This window comes from Homo sapiens, chromosome 7 (assembly GCF_000001405.40).
Source record: "Homo sapiens chromosome 7, GRCh38.p14 Primary Assembly".
In the NCBI taxonomy this organism is placed as follows: domain Eukaryota; kingdom Metazoa; phylum Chordata; class Mammalia; order Primates; family Hominidae; genus Homo; species Homo sapiens.
In genome coordinates this window covers 21,032,308-21,046,674 of record NC_000007.14, presented here as the reverse complement: position 1 = coordinate 21,046,674, position 14,367 = coordinate 21,032,308, and the positions used below count along the sequence as shown (strand labels likewise).

General features: G+C 38.0%; 3 annotated features.

The window, feature by feature from the left end:
* Positions 834 to 1,952: an enhancer, noted in NCBI's record as "VISTA enhancer hs701". NCBI's record gives its function as "enhancer in: midbrain (mesencephalon)[4/8]" and the evidence as "EXISTENCE:transgenic organism evidence [ECO:0001131][PMID:17130149]".
* Positions 4,208 to 5,493: an enhancer, noted in NCBI's record as "VISTA enhancer hs1226". NCBI's record gives its function as "enhancer in: neural tube[12/16] | hindbrain (rhombencephalon)[12/16] | midbrain (mesencephalon)[13/16] | forebrain[14/16] | eye[12/16] | cranial nerve[10/16]" and the evidence as "EXISTENCE:transgenic organism evidence [ECO:0001131][PMID:17130149]".
* Positions 4,654 to 5,155: an enhancer, noted in NCBI's record as "OCT4-NANOG-H3K27ac hESC enhancer chr7:21081139-21081640 (GRCh37/hg19 assembly coordinates)". NCBI's record gives its function as "activates a minimal SCP1, AML or CMV promoter by ChIP-STARR-seq in naive H9 embryonic stem cells {active_cell/tissue: H9 hESC(naive)}" and the evidence as "EXISTENCE:reporter gene assay evidence [ECO:0000049][PMID:30033119]".

Genomic DNA, 14,367 nt, shown 5'->3' with positions numbered 1-14,367 from the left:
TTACACTTGATCTTAGCCAAAAGGCCGAGAAGCGATATGACTTCTCTTTAAAAACCAGTGAAGCAACATACTACATATTACTAATGTTTTAAGAAATGATTTTTAAAAACTTTTCATTTATATAGCTACTTTCCTATTCCCAAATATTTGATTTAACCTACAGTACAGTTGGCCCTCGGGATCTATAGGTTCTCCATCCTTGTAATCAGCCAACTACAGAATGAAAATATTTGGGGGAAAAAACAAGAAGTAACAATACAACAATAAAAATAATACAATTTTTTTAACGCAGTAAAGCAACAAATGGTGAACTCCTTGTTATAAATCGGAAGAGCTCTGTAAAGAGGAAAATACCCCAAACTATTCTAAGATAGATGTACTTGTGGATAAAGCAGTTTTAATTAAATCTAGTCTTTTCTGCTTATCTTCTGCTAATAATTACTTGCATTTTCAGGGCCAGAAATGTCTAGCAAAGGTAAACCACATTATAGAAATGACAAGATTCCAGTTTCCAAAGTCACATAGCATGAATATTTGTAGTATCCTTTTATTTATCAGATTTCATGTGAATCTTTTTTTTAGAAAACTCTCCTTGAGGCTTGCAAATGGCTACATATTTTTAAAACCATCAATTACGCCAAAAACCTGAGAGTATGGCCATCTAATATTTAAAATAGAAGGTGAAATGGGGTAGAGGGCTCAAATGAAATTATAGTTTGCTGGGACAACTGGAGCTCCCACCTGGTTTGTCAAGATGCCCATTAGTCAGTGAACACCAATCACCTGTATAGAAAAAGAATTTCACCCATGAATCGACATAATAGAAGCCCACTCGATGGAAAACAGGTTAAAACAACTGGACATGAGAGCCCTGCCTTCGAAGCACCTGTTCGGTATGGTCCAAGAATAATATCTCTGAAAACATGAACACCTATTTTGAATATCTTCAGGCAAGAAGACCTAAAGCTACGTTAATTTAATCTCCTTTCCTAAATGTTAACAGCAGTGTGGAAATGGACGCTGTCATCCCTGTAATCAGTTGCACAGAGCACAAGGGCAGCCGTCTCTTGTGCCTCATCTGCGAGCTAATCTTTCATTTCATAGCAGATCTTTCCATATCAAACAACACAAATGACTTAATTTGCATGACAGGATTTGTAACGGGGCAAATCTAGTGTCAAAGTCGATTAAAGATTACACCAGAGAACTATCATAATCAGTCCTCTAATGAGCCTAAATAGTACATGTAAAGTCTCCCCTTTTTGCCATTCCAGTCATGTCTAAAAGGGAATGTGTTTCTTTTCATCGATGAGCCAGTCCTTTGGTTTGCACATTACGCCCTACGTTGAGCTAAAGTCATGTCAGTCTGGTTTCAGAGGGAGAGAAAGGGAAATAATAAAGCAAACATCACTTCACAAATGACATTGCTTGGTATAAGCCAACGTTTGAAGCCCTTAATTCTTCTAATCTGCAAAATAGTCAATGCTAATGGGTTTTTGCCTTTGTGAAAGCTGATGCATAGAAAGAAAAACTTTAATGAGCTGCCTGGGCCGTGTGCTTACAGATACCTGTCAAATGTCTGTCATCTTAGCTATCGCTGAGGCATTATAAAGAAAGTAAGAAGGAAGGAACGACAGTATTTGTACAAGCATTTTCATGCTAAAATGGCACAATTTTCTTCCTGTCATAATTTCATTGTATCTGAAAGTCAGAAAAGCTTAACCCTTTCCCCAGCATGTCCTGTGTAGTTGTATCACACGATCTTGGAGTGAGCGGTTTAAGAACAGCACAGTGATTGTGTAAACAGCATCTTCTGTTAAATTTGTTTTTGAAAATGGAATTACCTACATTTTTAAAATTGTGAAAACAAACTATTTGAATCAATTGCTTCAAATCAATTGCTCCCAGGGAGATCAGGAGTTTATTAAATGTAAAAGCTCCATAATGTGTGAGGCTGTCATTTGAGTCAATTCTTTCTGAGTTCTTAATTTAATATTTCTTTGTATCTTTGTACACCTAATACACATACCAGGGCTATGAGGTCAACAAACTCCCCTATCTCACCTTCTCTTTTATTCAAACAAGCGAGGAATGCAAATGTATCTTATTACGCCAGCACCTGCGAGCTCCACGAGGAGGAGGTTATATTAGCTTTATTTGGGGGAATTTATAATAACACAGCCATAAAAATGCAATGTGAGCTGAAACTTGGCAGGAATGAAAAGTCTCTAACCAGGTGTGACTTGTTTTTCCTCTTGCAAATGAAAAAGAAATCTAACAGTATAGACACATGCACACAAATACAGAACTTTTAGAGAAAAAATGGAATTTAACCCTTCAGGTTCCTCATGTGGTAGTCATTAGAGTGACAATAAAAACGTCCCGTCCTCTGATCATTTTTTTTTTTTTTTTTTGAGACGGAGTCTCGCTCTGTCGCCCAGGCCGGACTGTGGACTGCAGTGGCGCAATCTCGGCTCACTGCAAGCTCCGCTTCCCGGGTTCACGCCATTCTCCTGCCTCAGCCTCCCGAGTAGCTGGGACTACAGGTGCCCGCCACCGCGCCCGGCTAATTTTTTTGTATTTTTAGTAGAGACGGGGTTTCACCTTGTTAGCCAGGATGGTCTCGATCTCCTGACCTCATGATCCACCCGCCTCGGCCTCCCAAAGTGCTGGGATTACAGGCGTGAGCCACCGCGCCCGGCCCCTCTGATCATTTTTGTCTGCCACACCTCTTACCCCCAAATAAAGAAAGACGAAAGAAAAGAAAATGAAGTGTTTTCTAGAGGAGTTTTTTTCTAGTGGAGCATGGGTGTGTTCAGGAATGCCCTCTGGTCTTCGCTCTGACTTACTGTGGAACTAGGAAAGCTTCTGTGTTTTCACTTCTATATATTTAAAAAATCACGTCAGAATAATCTTCAGAGCTGATAATGAAATGGCAAGAATAAAATGAATATTTGTGAATAAAATAATGCTTGGTGTTCTACACCTGTGAATTTTGTAACTAGCACTGACCTGTACTAGCACAGCCCACAGAAGCCTATTTTGGCATATTACAATAGTTATGTCACTCTAGTCTGCCAATCGAACTCCAACTATGCCAAATGAGGTCGTGAGTATAAATCCCCTCGCAGGTTCCAGGCATTCATCATGGTACTTGATAATAAGATGGTCATCCTTGATTGCTCATGGCCAGGAGTCCCTAGAAGGGTCTGTGTACTCAGAATATCAGTCCCTTCCAAGAAGACACATCAAGGTGCAGCAAAGCCCAGCCCTCTTCAATTGGCCTCAAAGTGCTGTTGTAACACCCTGGGCTTTGACTCATTTGCTTTCCCTCCCTTGCTACAACCTAAAGAGAACAACTTTAATGAGCTCATTGGGCTGTGTTGTTTCCCCAAAAAAACCATTGTGACTTAAGGGAGGAAGTATTAAATGTTTATGCTGCAGGTAAAATCCAAGGGCCCTAATTTGTTCTCACTCCCCCTACTTCCTTTTCCCAGAGTAGTAAGTCAAAACAAACTCAAGCAGAGGGCAAATTTTAGTCAACTGACATTAAAATTTCAAATTAGATAAACGAAGCCAAAAGCTTTAGAATAAAGATGCCTCTAGTATTCAGTGCCTCAATGTGGCCAAAACCGGGTCTCCAATTAGACAGCTCTTAAGGTTGGGTTTATTGAAAATAAATTAGGCCAATGTTAATTTGGAAGTGAATTGTTTTAGCACCCTTTGGTAGAGATGTGTAGCTATTTTGAAAAGAAACAAATTCACTTCACCGGTATAAAAAGCATCCTCCTTGGGCCTTATTCTCATTTCTAAACAAGTAGACCTTTTAAGCTAAAAATGAAAAGCAGAACCAATTTTTGTGGCTGTGGGGTCTTTATTTATTTAACAAATATTTATGGAGGACCCTCAGTTCACCCGCTCTGAGCCAAAGAATCATGTCTCGTAACAAAACCCACCTCTGTGATACTAACAGATAAGTACCCCTCGAAGTTACAAAGCTATCTTTCTTCAAGAAACCTGGACTCTCTGTAAAAGACATGTTCTGCCCACGAAACCCTATTTATCCAGTTAAGTATAAAAATCTATTTAACAGATCAGATATCTAGAACAGTTTCAGCGTTACTGTTGTTGTTGCTTTGTCTTGTTTTTACATCGAAAGGTAATTCAGAAATCCGGGTCCACTTCCATGCCTCTCTTCATTCGATGGTGCGTGTTAAAGCACACCTACTTTATCTGGACATGTATGCATAATAATCAATTTCTACTTAAATTTCAACCTCCTATTTATCAAGATGCCCCCAGCTTCTCCCCCTCTGACCATTGTGTCTGCACTCTAGTCTTTATGCCATGTGGAAAATAGACCGCCTAGACATTAGCACACAAACTTTAATAACATACATTAGCCAAACGTGTAGTTTTCACTCAGATTTCAATCACTTTCCAATAGGAATGATTCAAAGTCCCTGCCCAATTGTTCCTGTAAGGCTCCTATATGAAGATGTGAATTAGAAACTTATAAGCCATATTGCTAAACGCTTTGCATTTTCCCACAGCAGTTGTGCACAGTTAGAAACACCACCATTTGGATTTCAGAGTGCGTTTTTCCTAAACTCGCCTTCCCCTGGAACAGTCCTCTGTGACCCAGTTGCTCTACCTCTGATCCGCTGCACCCCAGAGGCTGTCACAAGTGTCCCTCCTTCCCAGGAGTGGAACACACAATAGAGAAAAGGCCCTGGCTGGGAGGTTCAGCCGCCATTAACCCCTACCAGCTGTGCCTGTGGGGAGCCTTCTGGCCTGAATGTCCTTTCTCTGCGGCTGCCTTCATGCCACTAATCTAACCATTGTTGGGGAGGAATGCTGACAGGAGAAAAGAAATTTTTCTTGTGTCCATGCAAGTGTGTGTATCCATGTGTAAGTGAAGGAAGAGTGAAGGCTAATTTCTATAGTTGGCATGAATGGAGGGATTGCGAAAAAACCTAGTTAAAATGTGTTTACTTGCTTAAAAGCCTCAGTCAATTTAAATAATTTCAGTAGTGTGCTCTATTTTTTTTTAGGGAGGGGGGAGAAACTAGTTACTATTATAATTTTCTTTAACCCCCCTGAGATGTTTGGGCATGTTTAAGACTTTTAAAATTCACTGCCGGCAGGGGAAAAAATGAATTGAAATTCTTAAAAATACTGGCATAAAGTTACAGATGCACAGAATTACTCACTTCTAATGGACCTTAAAAAATCAGGGAAAGAGAACTGGTTATACAGGTCACATTTCCTTCAGAAAACCACTCACATTTAATGCTTACGAAAGTTTAAAAAAATCTTTGGGACTGAAATGGGAAGGGGTTTAACTTATCAACCACTTTTAATGAATCAAAAGACAGCCACTATTTCAAAAAACAAACTTTGTCTTCAATAAGCTTCACACTTCAATAAAGGAAAGTGATTGTTTCTTTACTTTTAAAGAAGACCCACGCAGACAGAGCAGACTTGAGGTGGTAAATTTGCCAACTTAGAAAGGCAGGCAGGTAATAATCATGACCATAATTCTAATGACATTGCCAAGCAAATATTGAACTTATTTGAAAAGTGTATCTATTTTCAATCTTTGAGGATTCCACTGGCTTTTTCAACGGCACTGGCATTAAAGAGAAACTATTCTTAAATTTAGTGCTCCATCTTGTCATTTGATAAAGTTCCGTAAAATACAACAGTTGGCCTATTTGGAATCAAATTAAGAATAATTCATGTAGAAATGTATTTTCTGGGTAATTAGACTGTAGTAGGGCAAATGTCTGATATAATAAAGCTCTACTTTGCATCTGTTCCTGTGTCTAGACTATGGCAATTACTGGTCCTTATAACAGCAGCAGCAAGATAATGCTCTACTCACAGGTTTCAGCCATTAAAATTCAGGATTATCTTTCTTTGCCCCTTTATTACCTCAATCATTTGATTGTGATAAAATAGATTTAATTTAATGAAGTTATACTTTTCTAAATTTGCATGCATACATTTACATAAATGGTGAGTGCAGTATCAGGTACATTTGCTTTCCAAAACATTAGAGGTAAATATCCTGGCACTCATCTCATTAAGGTGCAGTGTATTTGTTAAGCCAAAACAACTACAATAACAACGACAACAGAAACGCTCATATCTTCAAGCACTGTACCTGTTTCTTAGCCACTTCTTAGATTCTTGCACCTCCCAAGAAGGAAATCATCTTAGAGAAAAAATGAATGTTATGGCATATACATTGATGGAATAGATGAGAACAACAATGTAGTGTTAATTCCATTCATTGGCTTATTCATTCAGTCATCCATTCAACAATTATTTATTGAATTTCTCCAGTAAGGAAGAAGACACAGTGCCAGGTTGTTTGGGAGACACAAAGATAAATCCCACACAGCCTGCATTCAAGAAGTTTCCTAAAATGTAAGAATTGCTGTGTTATAGAAGTAACTATAGCATTGAGCAGAAATGTCATAATGCTGTCTGAAGGTGGTGGGTGTTCAGTTAAGTCATTGCAAAAAAAGTCTAATTCTCTCCTCCCCATATGTCTTCTTTAAAAGTAAAGAAACAATCACTTTCCTTTATTGAAGTGTGAAGTCGATCAAAGGCAAAATTTGTTTTTTGAAATAGTGGCTGTCTTCTGATTCATTAAAAGTGGCTGATAAAGTTAAACTCCTCCCCATTTCAGTCCTAAGAAATTCAGTCATAAAACTATAGCAAGAGTTTTCCTACTCTACCTCAGCCCTCCCTGTTTATATCAGTAGAGGTTCTCACAGTCAAAAGAATGTAAATCAAGCCAAACATAACCTTAAAAAATTATCCTTAGGATTTCTCCAAATTATCCCAGCTCTTTGAATATGAACTATGTCCCCAGACTCTCTTATCTTTTGTAGAAAGACTATTGGGTGCTTGGAAGACTTTAGAGTAGAGAAATCACTGAATGTTCTGAGCGTGTCTACTGCTTAGTAAATGGCAAAGTCCTTGCATAGTGGTGATGTACTTCTAGCTACAAACCTCCTTTCTCCCTTATCTAAGAGCTGTAAGAACAATGATTGCTACATGTAAGGGATTTGCTCCAATCCATTTCTCTCCTCTACATAAAGCTACACTCTTTTAATCCTAAATATTGTAGAGATAATAAGGCATTGCTTCAGAAATTTTATTTGCCTCGATCAATCAGTCAATCACCAAAGACAAGGTCTACAAATTAACCCAATACAACAAAGACCAAAAAAAAAAAAAAAAAAAAAAAAAAGAAAATATGAACAAAGCCTCCAAGAACTCTGGGATTATGTTAAATGACCAAACCTAAGAATAATCAGTGTTCTGAGGAAGAAGACAAATTTAAACATTTGGAAAACATATTTGGGGGAATAATTGAGGAAAACTTCTCCAGCCTTGCTGGAGACCTAGACTTCCAAATACAAGAAACACAAACAACACCTGGGAAATTCATTGCAAAAAGATAACTGCCTAGGCACATTGTCACCAGGTTATCTAAAGTTAAGATGAAGGAAAGAATCTTATGAGCTGTGAGACAAAAGCACCAGGTAACCTATAAAGGGAAACCTATCCGATTAACAGCAAATTTCTCAGCAGAAACCCTACAAGCTAGAAGGGATTGGGACCCTGTCTTCAGCCTCATCAAAAAAAACAATTATCAGCTAAGAATTGTGTATTCGACAAAACTAAACATCATATATGAAGGAAAGATACATCATATATAAAGGAAAAATTCAGACAAACAAATGCTGAGAGAATTCGCCACCACTAAGCCACCACTACAAGAACTGCTAAAAGGAGCTCTAAATCTTGAAACAAATCCTGGAAACACATCAAAACAGAACTCCTTTAAAGCATAAATCTCACAGGACCTATAAAATAAAAATACAATTTAAAAAGCAAAAACAAAAAACAAATAACGTGATGAATGGAATGGAATGGTACCTCACCTCTGAATACTAACATTGAATGTAAATGGCCTAAATGCTCCACTTAAAAGATACAGAACTGCAGAATGGATAAGAATTCACCAAGCAACTAACTGCTGCCTTCAAGAGACTCACCTAACACATAGGGACTCACATAAACTTAAGTAAAGGGGTGGAAAAAGGCATTTCATGCAAATGGACACCAAAAACAAGCAGGAGTAGCTATTCTTATATCAGACAAAACAAACTGTAAAGCAACAGCAGTTAAAAAAGACAAAGAGGGACATTACATAAGGGTAAAAGGTCTTGTGCAACAGGAAAATATCACAGTCCTAAACATATATGCACTTAACACTGGAGCTTCCAAATTTATAAAACAATTACTAATAGACCTAAGAAATGAGACAGACAGCAACACAATAGTAGTGGGGGACTTCAATGCTCCACTGACAACAGTAGACAGGTCATCAAGACAGAAAGTCAACAAAGAAACAATGGGTTTAAACTACACCTTGGAACAAATGGACTTAACAGATGTATACAGAACATTCCATCCAGCAACCAGAGAATACACATTCTATTCAACAGTGCATGGAACTTTCTCCAAGATAGACCATATGATAGGCCACAAAACAAATCTCAATACATTTAAGAAAACTGAAATTATATCAAGGACTCCTTCAGTGGAATAAAACTGGAAATCAACTCCAAAAGGAACCTTCAAAACCAAGCAAATACGTGGAAATTAGATAACCTGCTCCTAAATGATCATTGGGTCAAAAATGAAATAAAAAATGGAAATTAAAAAATTCTTCCAACTAAATGATAATAATGACACAATCAATCAAATCCTCTGGGATACAGCTAAGGCGGTGCTAAGAGGAAAGTTCATAGCCCTAAATTCCTACATCAAAAAGACTGAAAGAGCACAAACACATTCTAAGGTAACACCTCAAGGAACTAGAGAAGCAAGAATCAACCAAACCCAAACCCAGCAGAAGAAAGAAAATAACCAAGATCAGAGCAGAACTAAATGAAATTGAAACAATGACAACAACAAAAAAAAGAGATAAATGAAACAAAAAGCTGGTTCTTTGAAAAAAATAAAATTGATAGACCATTAGCAAGATTCATCTAGAAAAGAAGAGAGAAAATCCTATTAAATTCAGTAAGAAACAAAATGGGAGATGTTACAACTGACACCACAGAAATACAAAAGATCATTCAAGGCTACTATGAATACCTTTGTGCACATAAACTTGAAAACCAAGAAAAGATGAATAAATACCTGAAAAATACAACCCTCCTAGCTTAAATCAGGAAGAATTAGATACCCAGAAGAATTAGATAACAGCAAGATTGAAATGGTAATTTTAAAATTACCAACAAAAAAAAGTCCAGGACCAGCTGGATTCACAGCAGAATTCTACCAGTCATTCAAAGAAGAATTGGTACCAATCCTATTGACACTACTCCACAAGATAGAGAAAGACGGAACCCTCCCTAATTCATTCTATGAAGCCAGCATCACCATAATACCAAAACCAGGAAAGGACATAACCAAAAAAGAAAACTATAGACTCATATCCCTGATGAACATAGATGCTAAAATCCTTAACAAAATGCTAGCTAACCAAATCCAACAACATATCAAAAAGATAATCCACCATGATCAAGTGGGTTTCATACCAGGGATGCAGGAATGGTTTAATACACACATGTCAATAAATGTGATGTACCACGTAAACAGAATTAAAAACAAAAAATCACTTGATCATCTCAATAGATGCAGAAAAAGCATTTGATAAAATCCAGCATTGCTTTATGATTAAAACTCTCAGTAAAATCGGTGGACAAGGGACATACTTCAACATAATAAAAGCCATCTATGACAAAAGCACAGCCAACATAATACTGAATGGGGAAAAGTTGAAAGCATTCCCTCTGAGAATGGAAAAAGACAAGGATGCCCACTCTCACCACTCCTCTTCAACATAGTACTGGAAGTCCTAGCCAGAGCAATCAGACAAGAGAAAGAAATAAAGGGCATCCAAATTGGTAAAGAAGAAGTCAAACTGTCACTGCTGATGATATGATCCTTTACCTCAAAAACCCCAAAGACTTCTCCAGAAAGCTCTGAGAACTGAACAAAGAATTCAGCAAAGTTTCCAAATAGAAGATTAATGTACACAAATCAGTAGCTCTCCTATGCGCCAACAGCGACCAAGCAGAGAATCAAATCAAGAACTCAACCCCTTTTACAATAGCTGCCAAAAAAAACAAAAACAAAAAAAACACTTACGAATATACCTTACCAAAGAGGAGAAAGACTTCTACAAGGAAAACTACAAAACACTGCTGAAAGAAATCATACATGACACAAACAAATGGAAACATATCCCATGCTCATGGATAGGTAGAATCAATATTGTGAAAATGACCACACTGCCAAAAGCAATCTACAAATTCAACTAAATCACCATCAAAATACCACCATTATTCTTCACAGAATTAGAAAAAAAAAATTCTAAAATTCATATGGAACCAAAAAAGAGCCTGCAAAGCAAGACTAAGCAAAAAGAACAAATCTGGAGGCATCGCACTACCTGATTTCAAGCTATACTCTAAGTCCATAGTCACGAAAACAGCATGGTACTGGTATAAAAATAGGCACATAGACCAATGGAACAGAATAGAGAACACAGAAATAAACTCACATACTTACAGCCAGCTGATCTTCGACAAAGCAACAGAAACATAAAGTGGGGAAAAGACACCCTTTTCAACAAATAGTGTTGCGATAACTGACTAGCCACCTGTAGGGGAATGAAACTGGATCCTCATCTCTCACCTTATACAAAAATCAACTCAAGATGGATTAAGGACTTAAATCTAAGACCTGAAGGTATAAACGTTCTAGAAGATAACATTGGAAAAACCCTCCTAGACGTTGGCTTAGGCAACGATTTCATGACCAAGAACCCAAAAGCAAATGCAATAAAAACAAGGATAAGTAGCTGGGACTTAATTAAACTAAAGAGCTTTTTGCACAGCAAAATGAACAGTCAGCAGAGTAAACAGACAACCCACAGAGTAGGAAAAAGTCTTCAAAATCTATACATCTGACAAAAGACTAATATCCAGAATCAACAATGAGCTCAAACAAATCAGCAAGAAAAATGCAAACAATCCCATCAAAAAGTGGGTTAAGGAGATGAATAGATAATTCTCAAAAGAAGATAGACAAATGGACAACAAACATGAAAAAATGCTCAACATCACTAATGATCACAGAAGTGCAAATCACAACCACAATGCGATACCTAACCTTACTCCTGTAAGAATGGCCATAAGCAAAGAAGCAAAAAACAGTGGATGTTTGCATGGATGTGGTGATCAGGGAACACTTTTACACTGCTGGCGGCAATGTAAACTAGTACAGCCACTATGGAAAACAGTGTGGAGATTTCTTAAAGAGCTAAAAGTAGACCCACCATTTGATCCAGCAATCCCACTACTGGGTATCTACCCAGAGGAAAAGAAGTCATTATACAAAAAAGACACTTGCACACACATGTCTATAGCAGCACGATTCGCAATTGCAAAATTGTGGAACCAGCCAGGTGCAGTGGCCCACATCTGTAATCTCAGCACTTTGAGAGGCCGAGGCATGCGAATCACCTGAGGTCAGGAGTTGGAGACCAGCCTGGCCAACATGGTGAAATCCCGTCTCTACAAAAATTAGCTGGGCATGATGGTGGGTGCCTGTAATCCCAGCTACTCAGGAGGCTGAGGTTGTAGAATCCCTTGAACCCAGGAGATGGAGGCTGCAGTGAGCTGAGATCGTGCCACTTTACTCCAGCCTAGGTGACAGAGCAAGAGTCCATCTCAAAAAAAAAAAAAAAAATCATGGAACCAACCCAAATCCCCATCAATCAACTAATGAGTGAAGAAACTGTGGTGTGTATATATATATATACATGGAATACTACTCAACCATAAAAAGAAATGAGTTAACAACATTCACAGCTACCTGGGTGAGATTGGAGACTATTACTCTAAGTGTAGTAACTCAGGAATGGAAAACCAAACATCGTATGTTCTCACTGATATGTGGGAGCTAAGTTATGAGGACGCAAAGGCATAAGAATGATACAACGGACTTTGGGGACATTAGGGGAGGGTGTGAGGGAGGCAAGGGATAAAAGACCACAAATAGGGTGCAGTGTATACTTCTTGGGTGATGGATGCGCCAAAATTGTGCACCAAAATGGGTGCACCCAAATTTGTGCTTTTAATCACAAAAGTGTTTAAACAGGCAAATAGCACATCGTGAAACATGGAAACACTATATTACAATTAACTAGTACAATAATATTCCATATAAAAATATTTGTCTATAAAAATAATGTTAAAAAATGAAAAAATGAGGACTTTCATTTTCATTATAGAATTTTATTGAAAAGAATTTAATCTTTAAGTCTTCTTTAAATCAGAAGTTGCAAACTGTATGGCAGCAGGCAGAATTCAGCCCATAGGTATGCTTTACATGTTTTTTGTTTGTTTTTGAGACAGGGTCTCACTCTGTCACCAAGGCTGGAGTGCAGTGGTGCAATCTGGGCTCACTGCAACCTCCACTTCATGGATTCAAGTGATTCTCCTGCCTCAGTCTTCAGAGGAGCTGGGATTACAGGTGCCAGCCACCATGCCCGCTAATTTTTTCTTGTATTTTTAGTAGAGGCAGGGTTTCACCAGGTTGGCCACACTGGTTTCGAACTCCTAATCTCAAGTGAGACACCTACCTCAGCCTCCCAAAGTGCTGGGATTATAGGCGTGAGCCCCTGTGCCTGGCCTATATGTGTGTTTCTAAATTAATTGCCAACAGTCAAAAATAGAATGAGTTCACATAATTCTGGCTCCTCTTGAAAAATCTGAAGGCCCTGGATCACTGGGTCCTCTGGCCCTCACTGAATTATGAGAGGTTGCAGCTTTAAGACAAGCTGTGGATTTTTCCATCACTGTTGCTGCCCTACTGCCCTAGGCTGTGGGTTTGCAAATCCTGCATTACGTAGTAAGGTCTCTTTTTGTATTTTTCTTATGATTTGAATTAGATGAATTTGTCAAGCTAATCTTCCCCAGAATATACTCACTGCTTAAAATCATTTTCAATTACATTGTTTACTCATTTGTTCTTAGAGACTCCCATTTTTCTTTTATCAGTGTTCTAATTATCAGGTTAGTAATTTCCTCCAAATTTCACTCCTCTTAATTGGTCAGCCTCTTCTTTCTTCAAAAATATATGAAGATATTCTAGAACAAACACATTTTATCTATTAAATGAATAAAAACCAATTGAAATAGATGATAAACACAAACTCATGTAGAAAATCATCAGCGAAAGGTGTATATTCAATATTAAAAGATTACAAGTTGTATGTTCAATATTAAAAGATTACAAGGCTTCATCATATTCCTCCAGCATATGTGATTTGATTACAGACACTGGATCTTGTTGGTCTAAAATACATTTGTATGAGCATGCTTTCCACCAAAGACTGGGCCACTTACATTGCGTGGGTTTAAAAGTAGGAAGATAATGCCACCCCAGCATGCACTGAATTATGCTGGAGACAGCTCTGTTTAGCATCACTTGGAAAGTCTTATGCCCACCCTACTACTTCTGGAGTTCTTCAAGCATACTCCTCTGGACATTCGTTCTTGCACTTCTCCACTTGTCCTTGTGCTTCTCCACTTGTCCTGGAATGTTCTCTCTTCAGATATTCACGTGGTTTACTTCCCCGCTTCTTTCAGTCTCTACTCAAGTGTCTTTTCTTTAGAGAGACTCTCATGCACCACTATCAAATAGCAGCCCCAGTACTATCAACCTACTTAGCCTTTGTTACGACTTTTCTCAATAACATTCATTGCTACCTGACACATAGTTAGGAATATCTGTTTCTACTTTCATGTCCCCTTTTGAATGTAATTTTGTGAAGAAAGAGACTTATTTTATCCCAGTGCCTCAAATAATGCCCATAACATTGTAGGAAATATTTGAGGAATGAATTGCTCGATAAGTCTCTAAGTTGTTGCAATTCTATTACTTCTTGTTCCAACATTGGACCTTCAAGAGAGAATTGATGACCATCCTTGTTCATTAAAAGAGACCACTACATTTCCCCACATGAGTTCACGTATGGCTGCAGGGAGAAGCCTAATAACCTAGGATGTGGGTATCTTTTCCTATTTTCTGTCTGTTTTTCCTATTTCCTAACTGTTTTCGAACTCAGTGCTTTTCACATGTCATCCTCTTCATCACGTGTGGATTACTATTCACTAAGCTACTTTTTCACAAATGTGATTTTATATGATAGTTGGGTAAAGAAAATGTTGATGCATCATTCTAACATCCTCTTTGCAGTGG